The sequence below is a fragment of the Homo sapiens genome, chromosome 13 (genome assembly GCF_000001405.40).
Source record: "Homo sapiens chromosome 13, GRCh38.p14 Primary Assembly".
NCBI lineage: Eukaryota > Metazoa > Chordata > Mammalia > Primates > Hominidae > Homo > Homo sapiens.
The window spans coordinates 43,270,030-43,295,258 of record NC_000013.11 but is presented as its reverse complement, the minus strand read 5'-3'; the positions used below and the strand labels follow the sequence as shown (position 1 = coordinate 43,295,258).

General features: G+C 39.7%; 1 protein-coding gene across 27 annotated transcripts in view, besides 1 other annotated feature; it reads left to right on the top strand.

Annotated features, from left to right (window-relative positions):
* ENOX1 (ecto-NOX disulfide-thiol exchanger 1) overlaps window positions 1-25,229 on the top strand; it is a 573,843-nt gene that overhangs the window by 491,714 nt on the left and 56,900 nt on the right. The window lies entirely within an intron of this gene.
* Window positions 24,588-25,089: an enhancer, noted in NCBI's record as "NANOG hESC enhancer chr13:43844306-43844807 (GRCh37/hg19 assembly coordinates)". NCBI's record gives its function as "activates a minimal SCP1, AML or CMV promoter by ChIP-STARR-seq in naive and primed H9 embryonic stem cells {active_cell/tissue: H9 hESC(naive and primed)}" and the evidence as "EXISTENCE:reporter gene assay evidence [ECO:0000049][PMID:30033119]".

Sequence of the window (25,229 nt, the reverse complement as noted above, 5' to 3'; positions counted from 1 at the left end):
AAGTTAACCTGTCTCTGCCACAGGGATAGTGAGGCTTTTGACTTTCATTTGTACTTTTAGGTGTACAAGTAAAGACTATACATATTTTAAACTCTTATTTTTCTTCAGGTTACCACACTGAATTCTTTCGTTAGGTTTATTGAGGTAAAATTTACATACAATGAAATATATTCTTTTTAGACATACCTTCTATGAAGTTTGACAAATGCATACAGTCACGTAACCACCACTACCACAATCAATATATAAATCAGTTCCAGCACTCGCTGCCTCTTGCCCCTTTTGAGTCAGCCCCACTCCCAGCAACCACTGCTCTGTTTTCTACCCTTATAGCTTTTATTTTTCCAGAATATCATATAAGGGGAATTGAACAGTAGGCAACCTGTTGAGTTGGGCTTCTTTCTTTAGCATAATGAATCTAAGACTGATCCATGATGCTGTACGTATCAGGCATTCATTCCTTCTGATGCTGAGCAGTATTCCACCGTAAGAAAGAGCTGTGGTTTGTTTGTCTAGTCAATAGTTAGTGGATGGATAGTTTCCAGTTTAGGACAAATGGGAATAAATCTGCTATAAACATTCACTTACAGGCTTTTTGTGTAGACATAATTTTTCATTTTACTTGAGTAAATCCTAGGAATGTGATTGTTGGGTCATATGGCAAGTGTGTTTTACTTTCAGAGAAACCGCCAAACTCTTTTCCCAAGCGTCTGTACCATCATGCATTCCCTCGGGACTGTCTGCAAACTCCAGTTCTGCATCCTCATCAGGCAGCACTGGCATGGTCAGTTTGTCTTTTTTCACTACTGTAGTAAATTTATAGTGATATCTCATTATGGTTTTATTTACACACAAATTTGCAGTATTTTTATTTTCATTCATGAGGATAGGTCAACATGTCATAATTTTTTAATAATCCGCTTAAAAATCAGAATTCTTTTTGAAGCCTTGTGTAAATCATATTGACAGGACTAATAAATATTTGGATAACTGCAGGATACCATTAAAAACTGCTGATCATAAAAGTGCGTATGACTAATGATGATTATGTCAAAGGGCTCCTTCCTAAATAAGCCGATGCTTTTGAACAGTGTTAAATCTAGTCTGAAGACCAGCTGTCTTAGGCCAGCAAGCCAGTGGCCCATGTGGAGCAGTCTCTCTCACACTCTTAGCTTGACATTAGTAAGGTGCAGGCCTGGTCCACTGTCTTGACAACTTTCAGCAAGGGAAGATCAGGAAAAAAAAAATGGGAAAAGTAGGATGATTATGATCAAAAGCATTTTAGAAATTAAGTGACAAGCATTTTTTTCTTTATACTCAAAGTAGAACATATGTGTGATTTTCTGTGTATGCATTGTTAAAATCTCACCCACTTAGACTAATTTTATGGAAGATGAAGAAATATAACATTACTACTTTCCTAAAATACAAAGTAACCCCAGTTAGTTTTGTCAGATGTTGGGTAAGAGTCAGACTTTGGAATATCTGCTAAGGAATAAATGAAAGTATTTTTGAAATTAAACATAGTGATTACATCTGACCCCTTGGGTAAGTTCAGCATGTCTTCTGCAATCTTGTTTAAACTATTTAGTTGCTTAGTAAGTACGTTTTTTTTAGAGAAAGAGAAAAGCTTGCACTCAATTCCTCCCCAAAACTCACATGTAATTAAGTCTGATGTTATATGTCAAAATCAAGATCATAATAATGTTAGGGGTGGTGGTGATGGTGGCTCTGGAGATGAAGGGACTGTGGAGGTGATGGTTGCCATGGTGGTAAAGGTGACTGCAGTAGTGATATTGGCTCTGGAGGTGAGGGTGATTGTGGTGAGGATGGTAGCTGTGGTTGTTTTGGTGACTATGGTGGGGGTGGTGATGAAGGTAGCTGTGGTGGAGAAGGTAACTGTGCTTGTGAAGGTAACTATGGTGGTGAAGATGGCCGTGGTGGGGGTGCTGGCTGTGGTGGCCTTATTAGCTATGGTGGTAAAGGTAGCTGTGGTGACTGTGGTAGTGACGGTGACTGTAGTGAGAGGATGGTGACTAATGGTAATGTCAACTGTAGTGATGAAGGCATCTGTGAGGGGGGTGGTAACCTCAGTTGTGTTGCTGGCTGTGGTGAGAATGGTGGCTATGGTAGTGAAAATGGCTGTAGTGGCTGTGGTAATGAAGGCAGCCATGGTGAGGATGGTGGCTGTGGTTGTGTTGGTGGCTGTGATGGTGAAGGTGGCTGTGGTGGGGATGGTGACTCTGATGCTAATGTTGGTTGTGGTGATGGAGGCAGCTGTGGCAAGGATGGTGACTTTGGTGGAGAAGGTGGCCATGTTGGGGCTAGTGGCTGTGGTTGTGGTGATGGCCATGGTGAGGATGGTGTTAAAGGTGGCTGTGATGAAGATGGTGACTGGGGTAGAAATGGTGACTGTGATGGTAATGTTGGCTGTGGTGATGAAGGGTAGTTATGGTGAGGATGATGACTATGGTGGTGAAGGGGCCATAGTGGCAACGGTGGCTATGGCTGTGTTGGTGGCTATGGTGGTGAAGGAGGCTGTGGTAGCATTATTGGTGCTTTTAATGATTAGAAAGCTTTAGGGAAAGAGATAAAATGAGCATATTCACTAATATTTTATAGGGTTTTTTTTTTTAAACCTTGTCCCTTAAAAATTGTGGAAAGCCTCAAAAGTGCAGCAGACCAGATGCTCCCAGCCAACTTCAGAAGGTAGTGCTCCAGAGAACTGAGCAAATGCAGGGCTGCAGGCAGGAGCACAGAGTGTCACCAGAGTTTGTGACAGGAGGCTTTCCTTTTTCTTGATCATTTTTCACTTTTGTCTTCTGTTTTTAATTTCTATCTGAAATACCCACCAGTCAGATAATGGACCTAATAGGTGGGCGCTCCATGCCCATCATCTTTTTCCTAGTATCTTCCATTTTAACTTTATCTTTGATCCTTCCAATTGAAGTTTCTGCTTGGTAATCATATTATTTTATTTTCAAGAGGTTATTTTGTCCTCTAATCATTATCTTCTCATGCAATCTTATTCGTATTTTATGGGTGCAGTATCTTCTCAAATCTTTTTAAGAATACTAAGTAGGATTTTTAAGATCTTTGTGGTTCCTGAATCATCTCTCTTTACTCCAGGATTAGTTGTTTAGCTATTGTGTTTCAGTCTCTCTCTTTTATGTACAGGTTTCTTCATGAGCAAGGTGATGGCTGGCAGTCTGTGTATATTTAGGTGTGGAGGGCTTGGTTTGCTTTTCTGTGAAGCTCTGTGGCTTTGCTCATTGCTGTGTCTGGATCTGCTGCGTGGCCGAGTCTTTCTCCTGGGCAGTGGCCAGCCAAGAGCTCTTTGACAGGCAGGCTTCATTTTAAGGAGATGTGGGGATCCCTTGAATGCCAGAACCTGTCATACACTAGGAACTCCTGGAACTCACTTTCCTTTCTCCTTGTTTTTGTAAGTTTATTCATTGACAGATATTTTAATTGAGTCTCTGGAGGAAGAAAATACAAACACATACATTGCCTCTGACATCTTGAACAGGAGCCTGTTTCGGGGGCCTTTACCTTTAACCCAGTCTTTGAATGAATTCTTGGTTACCATGTGGCTGGGGTGGGGCAGGGGGAAGTGGTGCAGTGGGAAGCATGGAGAGTATTGCAAATTGTTCTGGCTGCCCGGAAACATATAGAGAAAGGAGGAACAGCAAGCAGGTTCATGAATGTCTAGGAGGAAGGACAAGGGAACTTAAGGTGGCACACTTTGGAGTGAAGATAGCTGAATCAGCAAGAAGAGGCAGATGCACAAAGTAAAATAGTTTCTGAAAGTGAGAAAGGAAGACAAATAGGAAAAGGTGACATGAAGAGGTTGAAATATGGAACAAAGATAGATAGTGAACTTGCTCTCCACACTATTTCTGTTTCCCTGTTCTAGAAGAGAAGGTGGCAGGACTAATGGTCCAGAGCAGGGCACGCCTAAGCCCCCATGCATGTGCAGGACACAGAACAGTAGAGTCCGTTCCAGACACAGGGATGGGAAGGATGTGCAGAAGTAGTGAGGGATGCAGAAGAACAAACAGTTCTTCCTCTCCAGTTAAAAACCGCTTTCAAAGGAAAATGCACAAGCATAGAAGGACAAGAAAAATGGAAAAAGAGAAACCCCTTTAAAAGAAAAATTCAACATTTGGTAATGATAAATTGTATTCTAAGAGCTTTTAAAAATTTTTTTCAACTTTTATTTTTATTTTTTTGAGATGGAGTCTCACTCTGTTGCCCAGGCTGGAGTACAGTGGTGTGATCTCAGCTCACTGCAACCTCCACCTCCCAGGTTCAGGTGATTCTCTTGTCTCAGCCTCCTGAGTAGCTGGGACTACAGGCGTGTGTCACTGCGCCTGGTTAATTTTTGTATTTTTTGTAGAGACGGGGTTTCACCATGTTGGCCAGGCTGGTCTTGAACTCCCGATCTCAAGTGATCTGCCCGCCTCAACCTCCCAAAGTACTGGAATTACAGGCGGGAGCCGCTGCACCCAGCCTCAACTTCTATTTTAGATACAGAGGGTACATGTGCAGATTTGTTACATGGGAATATTGCGTGATGCTGAGGTTTAGCGTACAGATCCCATCACCTGGGTAGTGAGCATAGTATCCAGCAGCCGTGCCCTTCTCCCTCTCTCCCCTATAGCAGCCCACAGTGTCTGTCGCTCCCATATTTATGTCCATGTGTACTCAGTGTTTAGCTCCCACTTATAATTGAGAAGATGCAGTATTTGGTTTCCTGTTACTATGTTAACTTGTTTAGGATTAAGGCCTCCAACTACATCCCTGTTACTGCAAAGGACATGATTTCATTCTTTTTTATGGTTGTAGTTGTATTCTGTGGTATGTGTGTGTGTATATATATATATATATGTATATCCCATCTTCCTTATCAAATTTATCATTTATGGGCACCTAGGTTGCTTCTGTGTCTTTCCTATTGTGAATAGCATAGCAATGAACATGTGAGTGCATGTGTCTTTTTGGTAGAATGATTTCTTTGCCTTTACGTATACACGCAGTAATGGCCTTGCTGGGTCGAATGATAGCTCTGTTTTAAGTTCTTTGAGAAATCTCCAGACTGCTTTCCACAGTGGCTTTACTAATTTATATTCCTACCAACAGTGTATAAGTGTTCCCTTTTCTCCATATCCTCACCAGCATCTGTTGTTTTTGACTTTTTTAATGATAACCATTCTGACTGGTGTGAGATGGTATCTCTTCGTGGTTTTGCTTTGTATTTCTCTGATGATTAGTGATGCTGAGCATTTTTTCATATGTTTGTTGACCATTTGTGTGTCTTCTTTTGAGAAGTATCTGTTCATGTGCCTTGTCCATTTTTTAATGGGGTTATTTGGCTTTTGCTTGTTGATTTAAGTTCCCTAGAGATTGTGGGTATTAGGCCTTTGTCAGCTGCATAGTTTGTGAATATCTTCTCCCACTCTGTGTAGGTTGTCTGTTTACTCTGTTGATAGTTTCTTTTTCTTTGCAGAAGCTCTTTAGTTTAATTAGGTCCCACTTGTCTATTTTTGGTTTTGTTACAATTGCTTTTGGGGACTCAGCCAAAAAATCTTTGCCAATGCCAAAGTCGAGAAGAGAATTTCCAGATTGGCTTCTAGGATTTTTATAGTTTGAGGTCTTGCATTTAAATCTTTGACCGGTTTTGAGTTAATAATTTTTGTAGACAGTGAAAGGTTAGGAGTCCAGCTTCAATCTTCTGTCTAAGGCTAGTCAGTTATCCTATAACCATTTATTGAACAGAGAGTCCTTTCCCCATTGCTTGTTTTTGTCAGTCCTGTCAAATATTAGATGGTTGTTAAGTGTGTATCTTTGTTTCTCAGTTTTCTGTTGTATTCCATTGGTCTAGGTGTCTGTTTTTGTACCAGTACCATGCTGTTTTGGTTGCTGTGGTTTTTTAGTATATAGTTTGAAGTCAGGTAGTGTGATGCTTCTGGCTTTGTTCTTTTGGCTTAGAGTTGCTTTGGTTGTTTGGGGCTCTTTTTGGTTCCATATGAATTTTATAATAGTTTTCCTTAATTCTGTAAAGAATGACATTAGTAATTTGATAGGAATAGTGGTGAATCTGTAAATTCCTTTGGCAGTATGAACATTGTTATGACATTGATTCTTCCAACCCATGAGCATGAAGTGTTTTTCCATTTATTTGTGTTGTCTCTGATTTGTTTTAGCAGTGTTTCATAGTTCTCCTTGTAGAGATCTTTCGCCTCCTTGGTTAGCTGTATTCCTAGGTATTTTATCTTCTTCGTGGCTATTGTAAGTAGGGTTGTATTCTTGATTTCACTCTCAGCCTGGATGTTGTTGGTGAATAGAAGTGCTACTGATTTTTGTACACAGTTATTGTATCCTGAAACTTTACTAATTTTAAGAGCCATTATGAAAGATGTAAATACTTAGATGTAGAATGTAAAAAAAAACTAAAGATAGAAAGTTTGGAAATTAAGTTGCAATGTATCAGGAGGATCTACCTTCTAAGTAGAGTTCATGAGCCTCAAAAATGTTCAATTAGAAGGAAGGAATAGCCCATACACAATGATCTGGTTATTGGCTCATTCAGGAAGAATGATATCCTAATATCTTTAATATATGACAGATTATACATTAGTGCAGAAAATAATTCAGTATCACTGGACAGGGCAAGAAAATCTTATTAACAGTGTAGAGAAAGGAGTTTTCTCTTAGACTCTCATGTACAAGTAGTCAAATATTCAGCTTTAAAAAGCTCAAAAAATAAATATGTGTATGTATAAATAGACATACACATATAAAAACCTGGAGTCTTTACAAGCTGTGGCTGCAAAGACATACCCCATGTTTATCTGATTCTTCGACAACCCAGATTAAGTTTCTTTCTTTCTGAATAGGATAGAATAGAATATGGCTGTGGGAAATGCAGAAGACATTTCCCACATTCATATTAAAAGCCACCGACATTTTACTAGAATCAGAAAAATCTTAAAACATGTACATCTCTCAGATTACACGGCTTTAAAAAGGTTTAGTGACTTAAACATCAAGGTTCACAAGAGTTGCCAAATTTGGGGTCCACCATGGTCTTCCTTTAACTATTCCAGGGTTTGTAATTTCATTTTTTATCCATTCCTCGGCCAAGAATATTGGGATGGTGCATTATAATAACAGGCCACAAGATGATAATCCTCATAATTCCTTGGCACCTTTCTTTAGGCTGTTCAAGGTCATTTGTAGGGTTCCTGCTGGCAGTGTGTGCATTTTCTGACATTTGCAGATTACACTCCTGGTACATCCTAAGAAGGTAAGTATCTCACTTCAGTGTGAGACTCTTGAAGGAACGGTTGGCTCCATTTGGAACCAGAAATAGAAACCAATTCTCCAATTCTCGGCCCAGGGCTTTACATTACAAAGCCCTACCTGTTTGAAAGGATCACACATGACATCTGTAAGAGGTTTGGGACTTTTCAGAGCACTTTTCCTTTTGATTCTGGACAAGATACAAAGACTAAAAATGAAGATGAGAGGAAGCCTCCTTATATGTTTTTTAGCAGTTTTGAGTGAGGATGGCCCACTGAGTATCTTGCCGTCTTCACTGACCAGAGGTCATAAGATGAGGAAGAAGATAAGCCGTACTGATGCCACCTAAGGGCATGAATAATGAAATGAAAACACTGAACTAGTAGAAGGAAAATGTGACTTCAGCTTCACTGTTTGTTTTCTGTACTTCTTTGGGAAACTCAGGATGTCTGGACCTCCAGTTCTTCTCCTGGAGACCAGGTGCCTCCAACCTCAGTAAGGGCTTGCTACGATAAAATCATACATCACATGTGATCATGTACGTGAGGACATTTTGAAAAGCTACTCACAAGTGTGAACTGTCATTGCCATATTCCAGGTGAAAATATGAAAAGATGTTGAGGCTTAAAAGAAGACTCAGGCTCACAGAGTTAGTCGGGACAAGTCTAGGTCATAATTTCCTGACACAGGGTGGCCTGTGCTGTTTACTCCAATGCCCCTTACAACAGGAAGGCCAGTCTCTCCAGTTAACTCACAAAAGCACCTTCATGTTATTTTATGCGGTCCTCACAACAACTCAGGGGTATGTGACTGTCCCAGTGTGTCAAGTAGGAAACTGAGACCTAGAGGTGTCAGGTGACTGACCCAGGGCACAGGTACACCATGTAGAGTCAGAACTGCAGCCTAGGCCTGTCTGAGCCCCTGTGTTCCCTCTATAACCCCACACCATGGCTTTCCAGAGTGTACCCTGAAAGCAGTGCTTCAGAACTGCAGTCATCAAGACAGCAGAAGACAAGAAGTTCCCTCCTTCATATGCTTGGAGATAGATTGCTAAAATATTACTGGCAAAAACCCATTGCCTATTTTCTGACTCTGTGTCATAGCCCCTAATTTGGTCTTTGCATTAGCAGAGCAAGAACCTGCGAAAGGAAAGTAACATAGATGCAGCTTTTATTAAATTTGAATCATGAAAATAAATCTCTGAATTCACTTCTGGGAAGGGGAAGAGAAGCCCTAATAAAATTTAACTATGAGAGGCTTCATCTCATCATTAGTTATCCTGCTCTGCCATTAATTAATTTGATCATCAAATGCATCCTCATTAGTAATCATTCCTTCTCAAAATAATGAGGCTAGCAGACAAATCAATGTAGGAGCCAGGGGCAAAAATAATGGCATTGCCCTGCAGACTATTAAAATCATTTGACTTCTGCTTTTTGCTGCTTTCCCTGATGTCTGCAATGGGAAATCCTGACTCTCCAGTAGACTTCCATTCCCAGGATAAAGGAACTCTCCTTTTCCCAACGCTGTGTTCCTGGCAGTCTTTAAATGACCTTTGAATGACCTTCCCTTTCACTGCCTCTTTTGGAAACTGCCTCCTGACTTACAGTCTATATCACATGATGAGTACGAGATTTATAGTGAAATGGATCTTTTCTTAAATGTAATACATCAAAGCGGACTTTTGCTGCAGACATATACTGGCCTACCACGCTGACCATTGTCATCTTTCTCCCTCCAGCTATGGACACTAAAATGATTCCTTGTGGTCTGGCTTTGACTTCATTTCTTTCTAGTCTACCAATGCCAAGAAGCCGACTCATTCACACTGAAGCCCTGAACCCTGCCAGCAACATGGTTGGCTGTCTATAGCAGGTGTCCTGCTCCCAGCCAGACTGATGTAATTACCCATTTCAACTCCGGCCGCAGTTGGGGGTCTTCATGCTCCAGGGCTTTCCTCTATGCAGCTGGCTAGGAGAGGCAACAGGATTAGGAAGACCAGCCAATTTCCTTCTCATCAGAAATGAAAGCAGTGAAGAAAATGCAGGGAGAAATTTGATGGGGGGACAAAGAAATACAGCATTGGAACAAAGAAGAAAGAAGAAGAGGGGGGAATTCCTCTTTTTTTTTTTTTTTTTTTTTTGAGACAGAGTCTCACTCTTGTCACCCAGGCTGGAGTGCAGTGGCGCAATCTCGGCTCAGTGCAGCCTCTGCCTACCAGGTCCAAGCTATTCTATTCTCCTGCCTCAGCCTCCTGAGTGCTAGGATTACAGGTGCCTGCCACCATGCCTAGCTAATTTTTGTATTTTTAGTAGAGACAGGGTTTCACCATGTTGGCCAGGCTGGTCTCGAACTCCTGACCTCAGGTGATCTGCCTGCCTCGGCAAAAAAAATCCTTCTTATATGACTAAGAGAAAGCACAGAGGAAGAGAAATATAGGTGGGAGTAGCAGTTTTCCTGGGTCTCGGTTTGTCATTTAAATTTTTGTTTTATTTTTTCATTTTACAAAAGAATTTATGCTCAATGCACAAAACTTGGAAACATAAAAGAACCATATAAAAGGAAATAAAAATCATTCATAATGTCACTACCTAGATATAACTATTGCTAACATTTACATATAGCCTTTCAGTCTTTTTCTCCATATATATATAAACATAGAGTGTTAATCATTTTTAAATACTGGCCAATAGAACAGCCAAACTTAGTCAGTTAAAGTGTCTGGAATTGTAACCAAAGTGTGGAATTGGGAATTCAGTTCCAAGATGTTAGATGGTTAGTTAAAGACTATGTTTTCTCCTCTGTTTAACAAAGCACCCTGAATAGTCATCAAGGGAAACTTAAACAAGTTAGTGCCCAATCTGGTCCTCACTTTACAGACCACCCATCTCACTCAATTGATCAGTGAATACACCCTGCATGGTCAAGTTCTTATCTATGTGCAGCTTCTTCCATCTGGTAATTACTGTCTGGTTTTTGTACTTTCTGTTTCTTCTCTCTGTGTCTCTGACTCTCCTTCTCTACATATTTCTATCTCCTCTTTTATAATTGCCTCTCATTACCTCTCCAGTTTCCAGTTTTTGCGCTTTCTGTTTCTTCTCTGTGTCTCTGTCTCTATTCCTATCTCCCCTCTCTCTCTTACACACACACACACACACACACACACACACACACACACACACCTTTAACAAATAGCCACAACAGCCTTATTTACTGGGGAAGAAAATAAAGAAGAAAGTATATTTGAACTTTGTCAGTAAGTTTCCAAGGAAGAGTGTAATAAGTAGCGCTTATAAATGAAAGACCAACACAGTGACTTTTCAAAGAGATAAAAATAAATTATCATATTTTCTTCTTCCTTTTGTTCTCTTAATTCATCCTGCTGACCCACCAGACAACTGCATTCTATTTTTTATGCCCTCCACCACCATTACCATCTTAATTTATTTTAAACCAGGTATCACTCAGATTCAGTCAGAGTGGCTTTCGTTGGCCAGCTTTGGAATTCTCATTCATGGTATTAAGATATGTATATTTCCACCCATGATTTACATTTTATACTGAGTCATTTGCTGAGTCAGTGTGTTACACATTTTTCAGTCATTTAAACATAGGGTGGTATGCCATGATTTTGTTCTCTCATTCTCCGTGCACCTTGTCCTCTTCTCTCTGGTGTTTATATTTCTTTCCTAACGGTTTGTATTTCTTATCTTCAGTGCCACTTAACTTCACTTTCAGGAAGTTTTTGTAAAGGCCTAACTGTGAAGTCCATAACATTGTAAATATATACTACTATAAGCTCAATATGTAGGACATATAAAGAAAATCATACTTTTCAAATATACTGGGAACATTTACAAAAATTAATCCCATACTAGGCCTTAAAGCAAATCTCAACAGATGTCAAAAGAGTGGTATTGTATTTTTTTGACCACACTAAATTGTTAGAAATCAGTGCCAAAAATAACTAAAATAAATTTTGTATATCTGGAAAGTTTAAAACATACATCATTTTTACAGCTTCAAAAAGAAATCAGAATTAACTTAAAAATACTTAGAAGTAATTGATAATTAAAACATAATATATCAAAACTTGTGGGACGCAGCTAAAGCAGAACTTAAAGGAAAAATTTAAAACTTTGTTTTAGGAAAAAAAACTAGTAACAGTGAGGTAAGCATCCAATTTCTATTGAAAAAAAAATAGGCCAGGTACAGTTGCTAACACTTGTAATTTTAACACTTTGGGAGGCCAAGGCGGGAGGATATGCTTGAGCCCAGGAGTTTGAGACCAGCCTGGTCAACATACTGAGACCCCATCTGTACAAAAAAAAAAAAAATTAATTAGCTAGGCATAGTAGCACGTGCCTGTGGTCCCAGATAACTGGGAAGCTGAGGTGGGATAATTCCCTTGAGCCTGGGAGGTCAAAGCTGTAGTGAGCCATGATTACACCGCTGTATTCTCCAGCCTGGGTAACAGAGTGAGATCCTGTCTCAAATAAACAAACAAAAAATAATAAACACAAAGTAGAGGGGATAATACAAAGAATAAAAATAACTAAAATAGCAACCAACCATACAATAGAGAAGATCAACACAGCCAAATGTTTGAAAAGATGAATAAAATGGAAAATCTTTGGCAACATGTATCAAGAAAAAAAGAGAACAACCTAAAAACAGTATTAAAAATAAGGTATAACTATAGATGCAACAGAGACTAAAGAAATATAAGAATATTAGGAATAGTTTTATGACAATTTTTTAACTTTGGAGATACAGACAAATTTCAATAGGAAAAAATAACTAATCAAAACTGAATTGGAAAGAAATTGAAAGCTCGAATTAATAGCTTAAATTTTTTTTTTTCTTTTCTTGAGACCGAGTCTCGCTCTGTCACCCAGGCTGGAATGCAGTGGCGTGATCTCGGCTCACTGCAACCTCTGCCTTCTGGGTTCAAGCGATTCTCCTGCCTCAGCTCCCGAGCAGCTGGGACTACAGGTGCATGCCCAGCTAATTTTGTATTTTTTTAGTAGAGATGGCATGTCACCATATTGGCCAGACTGGTCTCAAACTCCTGACCTCGTGATCTACCCGCCTCAGCCTCCCAAAGTGCTGGGATTACAGGCATAAGCCACCGCGCCTGGCCAATAGCTTAAAATTTTATATCAAAGCAACAGACCCAAAATTGCTTTATAGGCAAGTTCTACCAAACATTTAAGAAAAATAATACCAAGGGTGGGTGTGGTGGCTCATGCCTGTAATCCCAGCGCTTTGGGAAGCTAAGGCAGGCAGATCCCTTGAGCCCAGGAGTTTGAGACCAGCCTGGGTAGAATGGCAAAACTCTGTCTCTATAAAAAATTTAAAAATTAGCCAGGCATGGTGGCACATGCCGGTAGTTCCAGCTACTCAGGAGGATCATTGAGCCTAGGAGGTCGAGGCTGCAGTCGAGCCACTGCATTCCAGCCTGGGCAACAGAGCAAGACCCTGTCTCAAAAAAAAAAAAAGAAAAAAGAATACCAATCTTTAACTAACTCATTCAGAGAACACAAAAGGAAGACACACTTTCCAACTAATTCGTAAGGCTAGTATACTTAATACTGAAATAAAACAAGGACAGTTAAAAGTTAAAATCAAAAAATTATAGGCCAGGCTCAGTTATAAACAAAGATTTATAATTCCTTTAGAAAAGCAAAATTAATCTGGTATTTTATAAATCACCAAATTGGATTTATTCTAGGAATGCAAGGTAAGTTCAACATTTGAAAAATCTATCAATGTAATAGATCTCATTAACAGGCAAAACCAGAATAATACAAACATTTTGATGGCCACCAAATATCCATTCATGATTTTAAACTAAAACAACCAAGAAAAATGAAGGTTTTAACAACTTGGAATAGAAAGGAACTTTCTTATCCTGTTAAAGGTTATCCCCAGCAACCTCAGTGACAAAATGTGATTTTTTTAACCTTCCCAGATTAATCCCGATATAATCTCTTTCAATCCTCATATAATCACTTGGACTAGAATGCAACTGATTTATGTCACTTGCTTTGTATCATGATTTACATTTTCAAATTGTCCCTGGAAGCAGAAAAAGATTGCTACATAAAGTCTACCAGCAGACCCTAAAAACGTGGTCTCCCTATTCTTCCCTTTTGAAAAGTCATCAACACTAACCTTGGTGTTATCCCTCCCGTATTTCTACAGTGAAAACTTAAATACCCATATATCACAAATGATCATCTTTTTTGTGCCATCACTGTGAGCAGCTGGACTTTCAGATGACTTCAGCAAAACTTGTGATTGGAAATTTTCACGGGTAAACATCACATGCAATGTTAAAATGTATGCAATTGCCAACTGAGAGTAGGGGGACTGCTAAAGCTAGAGGAGCACTTCATCACAGGCATGTGGATATTAATAATAAGTGTGAAGCTGGGGCTCTAATTTCTCTTAATTTTCATATCTTGGAGGCCTTTTTTGCTGTTATCATTCATGGCCATGCTGACACCATTTATTGCAAAAGGTCTAACTCGGCTCACTTCTTTAATGCTTTCTATATTTAATGTTTCTGAAGCAGAGGAGATTGGTTTAAGATGATAATTTTCTACACTTTGGAGTCTATGCAAGATGGTGGTGCTGTATTGTATTTTGCCAGATAGATTTCAGCAGCAGGTATTAAGAATATGTGGCACATTTCACAATGGCAGTATTTGTTGAGGTTTTCTGCTGCTGCTGCTGCTATTATTATTATTTTTCCTTACAGAGAGTCTGAAGTTCAAAGACAGGGCAAATCTGAGATAGTTCAGAGGTTCAGTAGTTGCTATAGGTGGTTGAAAGCCTATGGGGAAACTGTTCCTGTCTAATGCAGCCCTCACCAGTTTATCCAGGGCTTGACCCTGGATTAGGGCATAGGTGAAACTTGGAGACCTCCAAAGGTTCTAGTTACTCTGACATTCCTAAAATGTTGGGTTCCAGACCAGCCTAAATGTGTTTAAATAACTTGGAAACTTTGGGGGAAGGAGCAAACTTCCTCTCCCTCTCACTTCCCTTAGTGATTGATGAATGTGCCCATTTATTTACATATCTTGTTCCAGAGCCACCTAAAGATTAAATGTGCTAAGTTCAGAGCTATTCTTCTCTCTTTACCCTGCTCCTAAATGTGTGATTCTCCTAGTTGTAAAAATGTTTACTTGTATTAACAAAGAAAAATTGGGAATATTGTAATCATTGGATTAACTTCACTAAAGTTCTACAATTATCAGGAGTTAAGTAATATAGGTGATACAGACCTTCTAAATCCATAATAAAGTTTTCCATCCTTAGTCAGACATCTATGGCTGATGGATCAGACCTTCAGCTGTATTTTCTCTCTTCACTGATCTGCAAAACAGGCTAGATCATTGCAACTCTCACCATTAAGATTCAACTAAAAGCTCTCTGGACTCCAACACATTCTTATTCCATAATGATTAAGGCAAAAGCTTCTTTCCTAAACCTGCAACCAAAGAGACTAGTGATGATGGTAATATCTGTTGTTAATGATGCTAAAACAAGTTATTGTTTGGTTCTCCAGTGGTTAAACTGAATGAGGCCCAGATCGCTTGCAAAAGGTACCTCCAAAGAGGGCCACAGGTCTTTGGCTACAAGTCACCCATAGGGGTTTTTCTAGCTGTAATCTCTGATCATGACTAGGTTATAAAATCTGTAAAGAAAGAACAAATTTCTGTAGGCCTTCAGGGCATAGTGCAAGACCCAGCTGTTCCATCAAGTTCTTATTTGATTGAAGTAAATGGGCCAACCTGGCTGGAAAGCATGTTAATATTTTAAATTTCTACATTAACAACTGTACACGTGCCCAGAGGATGGGTGATGACCACCTCACATAATTGCAAAAAACAAAACTGATAAGAATAAATAAATCCAAGCAAATTGGATTACCATTTGCAGAAGAACTGCCAGCAAAGGCAAGGGAGAGAATGTCACTGATACATGTTCCTACTTCAGCAAGGTATTTGACACCTTCTCTTGTGAATTGCATGAATGGTGTTAATTCAAGTTGGCTGGCCTATGTTTTCAGCATGGGCTGAAGGAGTGCACCCAGCATGGCTAGGCTGGGGCTGAACAACCGACCTTTCTCTCTGAATATTAATCCCCAGTACTGCCCACTCATATGACTTAAATGTCACTTCACCTCGTGGGACTTAGTGTTTCCATTTTTGCAAAGAGGATAATGACAGCACTTTCATTTAACTCAGCGGGCACCTTTTGTCATTCAAGGAGCATCACATACTTAACACATGTTCTTTAGTCATACAATATCCCACTGGTAAGTATTCTTATATTTATTTAACATGTGAAGAAAGTGAAAAACGGGAACCTGAGATGACCCTGCAAATTACAGTGTTAAGAAAATCATCTGTAGAAGAGAAAATAGATTTTAGAGCCTTCCAAACCACTTTTACATCTACCTTTACTGTGTTCTGTAGTCAAGAAATTCATTGATATCTTGCTTTGTGAATGATCAATAATTCCTCATTTGGCAGTTGTAAGGATAGAAGGCTTGGGGAAAAGAGGAGACCAGAGCAGTAGCTTGTTCAAGCTTGCACAGCAAGCTGATAATGGAGCTAATCACGCTAGCCTTTGAAATGCCGACATGCAGCTTCATTTTTGCCTTTTTGCCAGTCCTTGACTATATTTCTTTTCAGAATAATGTTGCCATATTGGGATATAGTATATCATGATTAATAACTCCAGTGGATTATGGGAATGCCACGAAGCATCTGTCTTTCACACCAGTCCCTCCCAGGGGTACATTCAAGCAAAGGAAATGGTCTCTAAAATCTTGTCTGATGAAACAGTTCTCCCCAGCCCCTAGCCCAACAGGCCAAGGTCATGACTCTCCCCGTCTCAGGCACTGGCTGCCTGATAATTGTGCACCTAGTGAAATTTAACACTCAGAGGATCCTTTTTTAAATATTTCCTCCTCTAAATTTAGACAACATTATTTTCATTAATTATCATAAAATGGAATGAATAATAATGGCCAAGAAAGAAATGCAGACTAAAATTTTTTTCTTTTGAACTTCATGTATATTTATGCCAGTAAGAAAATTAAATAGTGTGATAAAAGGAAAAAATTGCAACTATCTATTCAATAGTTTTCTTTACTTTACCTAACAGTTAGAACTTTGATTCTTGATTATAGTTAACATATTGCTGTATATAAATAATTGTCCAGTAAATCATAAGTATTAATAAAACCAAATGCAAAGGGCACAATTTAGGCAAGTATTGTGTCTCTGATGTAACATTTTCTTGATTTGTCTTTTAGTTTTAAAGCAAGCAATCTATAAAGAAAATTTTCAATTTTAAAAATACTGAAACGTAAACATATTTCACATATGAACTAAAATTTTCACTTGCCAACTAAAAATGTTTCATTGTTTTAAATTTTAAACATAAAAATTCTCAGAGTGGTCCTGTGGGATGAATGGAAGTAGCTCAAGTTCTAGTTCATCGTCTTTGCAAAACTGTGCTGTCATTGTTTATTTTGAATCTAGTATAGAAATGCAGAATATATGTAGTGCTACAGGAGGCTGGAGACACTGTATCCAAAGCAAGCTCAAATCAGAACAAATGTGTGCAGCTAAGTCATGTGTGAGAGAGAGCTGGGGCAGACTGTATAAAGCTAGAAATTTTCCAAATCAGTTGCCACATAAAATGTTTGTTAAAGGGTAAGCAACAGAATATGCTAATTTGAAGATTACATACATATTATTAAATCTTAACAGTAATGGCAACAATTAGAATTTAGATCAGCAAAAGATTGTTATGAGGAAGGAGAGTTTTATCAATGATTTTGCTTAGAATTGCTGGTGCATAGTGATGATAGATGGATACACCTTTAGTTTTATTATTGTTTTTACATTTTGTACAATTGTACCTGCTTAACTCCTACACCAAGGCAGGTAGCCCAGGCCCCGTCCTTGGTGCCCCGCCACTTGCTGCAGACTTAGGCCCTCAAATCTGTATCTCAGATGGCTTCCTGTGTTTTCTCAACCTCTCTGTGCCTCCTGAGGTCCTAAAAAAACTCACTCCTCCCTTTGGAGATTTTTCATGGCTCAAAGATTCTTGGATTTTTTTCCTTTTCTCTGCAGCAGAGGAAATCCCACTGCATTCCAGGCCAGCCCTAGGGAACCTGGAAACATTTTCAGCTCTAAGTCCTTGTTCTCTGGAGTTCCTCCATGCCCTCTTTTCCCCTAGCGAACACACAGCCTGTGCCCTCCCTTCACCCCTGCGCTGGGAGACATTGCTCAGATGTACGCACACAGTGTGCATCCTTCAGCTCATGCCTTACTCGGTCCACAGGGATCCTTGCCAGGTCAGGGTGCAGCAGGGTCCTTCATGCCTCAGGCACCCCCATGAGAAGCCAGACCCTTGGAAACACTTACTTGAGCTTTCTCACTCCTCTCCATAGCTGTCCCAGGCTCCCAGAGTAATGATAGGCATGACCCCAGGGTTCATTATCTTGACCTCTCAGAGATCAACCCAGGCAGGCCTGCACCTCGGCTGTGCGGTCTAGCTGACATTAGGATCTTAACAGCAGGGTCAGGGAACAGGGCCATGCTCCCACCATCTCTCAGCTATAAATGAAGCCTGATCTCATCATGAATGAGAGATTGCCTTCTGCCTAGCAATGAGAATGGCATTTAAAATTCAATATCAGAAAAGATATTGACGAGATTAAAGGCCTAGAGGAATTGATTTATGAGGAAAGACCCAAGGAATTAAATATGTATAGCCTAGTGTAATAGCATATTAGGCTGTGAACACAATTTCATTTCCATGATCCAGGATTCCTGTTATCAGTCGTCTGAATGGTGGAGTTCTCTCCAAGAGATGTTTCTCCCCCAGGGGTCACCATGCCTGAGGCAGGGAGGGGGGCACCAGGGTTAATACACTGGCCATAGGCTTGGATACCCTCATGCCTTAGTGTAAATTGAGTGCAGTTTCATCCCCAGGTGGAAGCAGATGACGTTTTAAACTAGAATAGATCTTGAGTAGTCTTACAAGCCCATGTAACAAGAAAATTCAAGCTAGTTCAATTCTTTTTTTCCCCAAGGAGAAAAGTGAGCATTGTAGATACCAGGTGGCAAATGATTGTCCTTCCCCAGAGACAGGCTCTCTCCTTTGTCAGAAATCCTGTTAGATGTGTTTGCCTTTAGGCAAAGCCTTGCTCTTAGGTTGTGATAATGTTCACTTGAATTTTTAAATCTCAAACTTTCTCTAACAATCAGGGATTAGCTCAGGATTCAGTGTCAGATGGAAAACAAGCATAGGTAGACCTCATCAGCGGGACCTAAGGCTGACATTCCTAAAGAGTTCTGAAGTCAGTGAGAACCAAAACTTGATGGAGCAGTGGATGGTCTGGAGAGTCCTGGGGAGACCTGAAGACACAGTAAGCTGTGGGGCGGTGGGATGTAACAGGATCCCACCAAGAGAAAGGGGATTAAGGGGTGTATACTTCCATCTCAAGCTCTACAGTAGGACAGGGATCTGGCAGAGCTGGTCACAGGTGGAGTTCAGATTGCAGGCCAAAATACTGGGAAAAATCAGGTTGGCAACAGGGTTACAGAGGCAGGATGGGGCGGGACACTCATGGGTATTGCCACGTAGAGCAAATGTTAAAAGGACTGCTGGGATGAGACCATCAGACGCAGTCACACCCACCATCGCCTTTGGTGAGAATTCCCTTTGGAAACCTCTGGGGCTCATTTCCTTAGGTGATACTCTGCTAGCCTTAAAGGATTATCCCACTGAGTAGGACATCTGATTTATAGCAAAGTTACAGAGATGGAACAACAGTTATTAAAACTGAACCAAAAGAGTAAAAAACACATTGAATTTAAATTGATAACATTCTGTGGGTTCAAATATTCCCAGATTATCGTGAATATTCAGTGGCTCATTTCCAATAAGTGGAACAAGTTATGATTCAAGATGGATCCCCTGAGCTCATTCTCCTGACCCCTAAACTGATCCCCAGAAATCTCCTGGATTCCTATGGAAACCATACTAGTTATAGCCATTGTAAGAGTCCTTTGTATTGTCCTGACTTAGTTATCATGTACATGTAAGAATTTTTGTGACCCAGCATCTAGAGGAGAGGCTATTTACTGTTGTTTCCTCTGTATCTTTCACATTGCCCAGCCCAGTACCATGCACACAGCAGGAGCTCAGTGTTGACTAAAGGAATGAATGAATAAATATTAGCAGATTGTTTTAGAACTAAACAAAGAGCCAAGCACTGGGGAAATCCTGAAACAGAAGAAGAAAAGAAATTGTGTGTATGTGTGTGTGTGTGTGTGTGTGTGTGTTGGTGTCAGTCACTGTCTATATCTATCTACCTTGTGTTAGTTTACCTGACCCACCACCAACCTAAATTTAGAAAGGGTACTTACTCCTCCATCCCACAGAAGTTCTCCTAACCCCACACTATCCTGCCAAAGATTCCTGAATTAATCACAATCCTGTGAATTTCAGCTTACAACAAGATGTGGCTGATGTATTTCATATAGGGTATTTGCACTGTCATCTATGACTTTCATGGAACCAAACTTACATAGTCTGTTAACTATATAAAAACTTCACCTTGGTAACAAAATTATACAATTTAAGAAAAAAGACAAGGAAGGGGTTGTTGTTCTTAAAGGGACGTCAAATTTGACACACCGCTCACAGAAGTATACACAAAAGCATGTCTGTAACAAGCCTGGCTCCTAAGTGGAAATGATGAATGTTTAGATAGAAGTCGTTGCTAGGAGGATTTTTAAGTTTGGCATGTTCTGATTTCCATTCCAAATTCACAGTGCAGTGTGATTGCCAGGATAGAAACCACGGGTTGAGGTAGGAAAATTGAACTGTGCAAGTGGTAGGTGTCTCCCAGACAGCATGACCTTAATCTCTATGTGCCCATGATTCTCCCATCTGTAAAAATGGAAATGTGACCTCACTTATTCTAGGGCTCCAAATAACATTTGTAATGCTCTTTGAATTTGTCAGAAAGAAAGACCCATTACATACTGAAGTCTGCATCCCCAAAGAGCATTACAAATGATCCCATTAAATCAGTGGCCTGGAAATATCAAGATGTGTCAGGTACAGCATTTATTTACCTGCTTATGGTCCGCCCAAGTGTTTCCACTTGATTGGCATATGGATAATTGTCTAATTGGAACACACTCCATTGTAACCACCAAAGAATGTAATAGTGCATCTGTTTAATGCCACACTCTCAAATGTTAAAATTACGCTGCCATCAGCCAATCCAACCAAGAGACTCTTCTGATTAAGTTCTAGCTGCTTATGAACTTCTATAATTGAGGCACTTTAGTACTTAAAAATTCAAACTGGAAAGAATATTATAGAGACTCATAAATTTCAAGTGAAAAAGACCAGAAAGGCTGACTTAAATCATCTAGTTGTGAACTACCTCCGTTTTTATAGGACCTCTAGTCACATGAAGAGTGGCAGTTTTGAATCACCATTGTTTTGAATATATAAATATTAGTTTATGAGTTTATACCTTGAAAACAAAAGAGCACATTAACTTTGCAGAATGCAGAAAACAGTCTAGGAGTGATTTTATTTTTCTGATAATGGTGATTTTGTTCTTATTGTGGTGAAACTTGAAGAATAAATTACGTAATTATAAATTCATTGATTGGATTTCCTTAGCCTGTTGAGAAATATTTCTTTTCAGATTAAAAAGGATATCTGGAACTGCCAGGTAATGAAACAAAATGTCTTAAATGAAACTGCTGTTTTCCTCAAAAAGTTTTATGTATCCATATGTTTAGAACAATACATTAGTAGTTTATCATTCCTCAGGTGTTTTGGGGGGTTGTTTTTGTTTTTGTTGTTTTGGTGGGTTTTTTATTGTTTGTTGTTGGATCATGGTTTAATCCCATAGAAGTGGGGAAACAAGAGCAAACATTCATTTATCCCTTCATTTATTCATTTATTCATTCAGCAGCTATTATATATTAGAGGTAACCTAATCATTGACCTTAATATTGGTGAATGTAGTCTGGTTGGGAAGACAGATATGAAATGTGGTATATTGAATTAAGTGCTTTGGGAGCAAGAAGATAGATGAACTAACTTTGCTTCAGTGATTAGAGAATATTTTTTTGGAGCAAGAACCCAAGGCTACCGCATTTCGTAGTGTAGGTTCTGCCCTGGACAAGAGCAGCAGGCCAAAGGGGTAAGTGGGAATGAAATCAAGCCTCAAAGCCAGTGCCCAACCATATGCCTGGTGAGGGATTGTCTCTACCTAGAGAGGATGGGGCTCTTTTCAGTTTTACAAAGGCATCATCTGAGTTGATCTTGGGCCAAAAGCAACATTTGAGGTGGTGCTTAAAGAATGAGTAGGAATAAGCCAGGCAGAATTCTGAGTGGTAAACTTGTCATAAGTCATGGAAGCAGCTGGCATGTCTGGGGAAGGATGAGTTTAGTGGTTTAGATTTTATCTATAGGGGTTAGAGAATTAACAGTACTTTTAATCATGGGAGCACTTTAATTCATGGGAAGTCAACTCTCTCAGGAGTGTCGGGTAAATGGCAGGGGGAACAGGAAAAACCCAGAGGAGAGGAGATGGTAGCCTTTACTATGACAGCAAGGATGGGATGGAGAAAAGGTCAAGGAACCGGCAAAGAGGTTGTGAAGGTGATGAAAGGGCCAGCGTTGACTTCAAGGTTTTAACTCTGGTTACCAGGGAAAGACGTTTAGACTGGTTGGGGTGGGAAGGGTAGGTGTGCTAATGGGCACAGTTGTAAACACAGGAAGTGAAGGGTCTGGTAGGTGGTAAGAAAGAGGCAGAGGCTGTAAAGGCAGTGTTGTAAAGCACCAGCACATGTGATGTGTAGTTAAAGCCATGGGCGTGAATAGGATCCCCTGGAGAGAGCGTGTAGTGAGAAGAAAAGAACCTGGAATACTAGCTGGCAATTAGCAAGGCACTGGTGACTGTAGTGAGAACAGTCTGAGTAGAGTACTAGGGATTAAAGTCACATTATAGTAGACTGAAGATTAAATAAGCAAGATTAAATAAGCATTTCAGGATACAGTGGTTTTCATCCCCAGTTACACATTAGAATAATTACCTGTGAAGGTGTTTTAAAAATGGTCAGTGCCTGGGTCCCACCTCTCAATATTCTGAGTTAATTGGTCTTGTGTCAGGCCCAGAAATAAGTATTTTTTTGAAAATCTTCACAGATAATGTTAATGGAGAGTCAGAATTAAGAACCACTGCTCTTGACTATTTTAAAAATTATAAATAAACCCCTATAGCTAGCAAGTATATAAGATGCTTAAAATCACAGGGAATCAAAGAAGTACAAAATTTTTCAAAGATGAAGAATCTTGGTGTTCTATTAAACTGGCAACAATTAGAAAGCCGAACAATGCTTTTAGTGTTATTATTCAGTAGAGCACAGCAGCTCTTACACACCACTGACAGGCAGGTAGACTGGCATAACCATCCCAGAGAGCAGCTTTGCCAAATTCACTCTTTTACCTAAGAGTTCCACCACTGGATATGCATCCCAGGGAAATCCTCCCACAGGGCCATAAGGGAACTTGCACTAGCATATTCCATTGCAGGCTTGTATACAGTGGGAAGAATTGGGGTAATCTGAATGGCCTTCACTGTGAGAGTGGGTTGGGTAAAATGGGGTGGATATACCCCATCAGAAGCATGGATTAGATACATAAAATAGTAACGTGTATACCTATGTAACAAACCTACACGTTCTGCACATATATCCCAGAACTTAAAGTATAATAAAAAATAATAATAAATCAAGCTCAGTAAAATCTCAAGGGAATTTCAAAGTTTCCTTATGTATAGCACATTTTGGGAATAAAAGGGGAAAATCTATTAGATTTTTAAATAAATTCATTAACAAAAAAATAGTAACATGGATGGATCTTAAAAACATAATGCTAATTTAAAACATAGCAAACAATAAGAAACATAATATCACATAAAAAAACACACAAAACAATGACAATATATGTTTTGGAAAAACACATTGAAATAAAAATCTAGACACTACATCACTGACACATAAGAAGAAAAGGAAGCACTGATGAGAGGGAAGACATTTCATTTAAAAAGTGTGAATCCAAGAATGGATGAGATAAGAGGGAGGCTAAAAGAAAAAGAGTGGTCAAGAGAAAGGGGTGTATATGCACACACATGCTTGTGTGTGTGTGTGTGTGTGTTTTAATAGAAGGAAGAGTTGTAAGTGTGCGGATGCAATGAAGACTCCAATGCACTTCTCCCTCTTATTTATTCACAGTATTGGTAATAGCTGAGAGAGGTGTCCAAGTAGTATTCCTCTCTTTGTTCTTCCCCGATCTTAAATTCATTTGATTTTTTCTCATTACTAAAGCAGTATGTGTTACAGATATACCAGAAAACTGACAAGCAAAAAAGAAAGATACATGAACCCACCCACCCAGAGACAGCATCTAGATCCTTTCCTATGAATATGCTGCAAAGTTACATTTTGTAACCTGAATGTATTTTTTGCTGAGCAGTGCTTTTTGAGCTTCTTCTGTGTCATTAGAAGACATTTGTGCAACTTCATCTTAAATGGCTGCATAGTGTCTGATGATACAGATACACGATTATTAATGTCCACCTCCCTTCTTCTGGACATCAGTTATTTTTGGTTTTGCCACCTCAAGTGCTGCAATAAGCAAACATGAGCTACCTACCTTTGAAGACAACTTCCTATCTTTCATTTGGCTCATTTTTCAAAAGAGATTTAAGGATTGGATTTGAAATCGTCTCATGAAGTAAAATTCACTCGGCATTACCCAAGTCAGGGCACCAGTTCCCTTTGGAACTGTTCTAGGGCCAGTCAGGAATGTGAATGAAGGAACAGAGCCATTCCCCACGGTCTGGACACAATGTAGGTGCTTGTCACTGTGCCAAAGTGCAAAATGGGCTCCTTGGTTTCTGTACTTTAATCAATGATGCACAATTAAATCCCACAAATTGTTAAGTGAGCGCATATGGAATGTGTACATTACCTCACATGTGATTGATTATTCCATGGGCAGGTGGTGAAATAGGACACACTGAGCTTTTAGAAAATTGCAAGAAATCACTGTTTATGCTACAGGACCAAAGTAGGTTCTTACATTTATACCCAGTGCCACAGTAGTTAGCAGAACAAGCAAGTCCCAGGGAAAGCACAGTGTGTTTTTCTGAGTACTTCCTACCCTGCAAAATCCCCCCAAACCAGTAGATTTGGAGATTTAATTTAATCCTTCCAGTTGGTAGGTTTAAGCCTGAGAAATCCAGTGCCAGTGTTTCTCCAGGCTTTGATGGTTAGGAACTGGCCAGGCAGCTCTGCAGCCAGCTTGTCAAGGCCCTGAAGAAGTAGCCTGGCTATTGGAGACAGGTCTCTTCATAGCAGGAATCCACTAACATTTCCAGATCATTAGTACAGCAATTGTTATGTACAGTAGCAGAAGAAATGCACTCTGTCTTTTCGAACCAGTCCTTTGTTGTCAAGAAGCTCTGAATAGTCAGAGCTGTTTCCAGGGCCTTTTTGCAGCTCTTGAATGTATTCTCCAGCCTATGTATATATTAACATATCACCATGTCCCAAAGAATTCGCACTGCGCAGCGCTGTGCTTTTGGCAGACAAGGAAAGCCTTCACATGAGTTACAGTTGATAGGGCAAGGGAAGCTCAGGGCTTACAAAAATCCATACAGTGGCCCTGCTTAAAAATAGCAGTGTAGGCCATAGCTTGATGTTTTGACAGTTTATATCAGCAGTTTTCTCAGCTGATATATTGATTGCAGTTTGGACTTCAGTCCTACTGATCTAATAAAACATCACCAT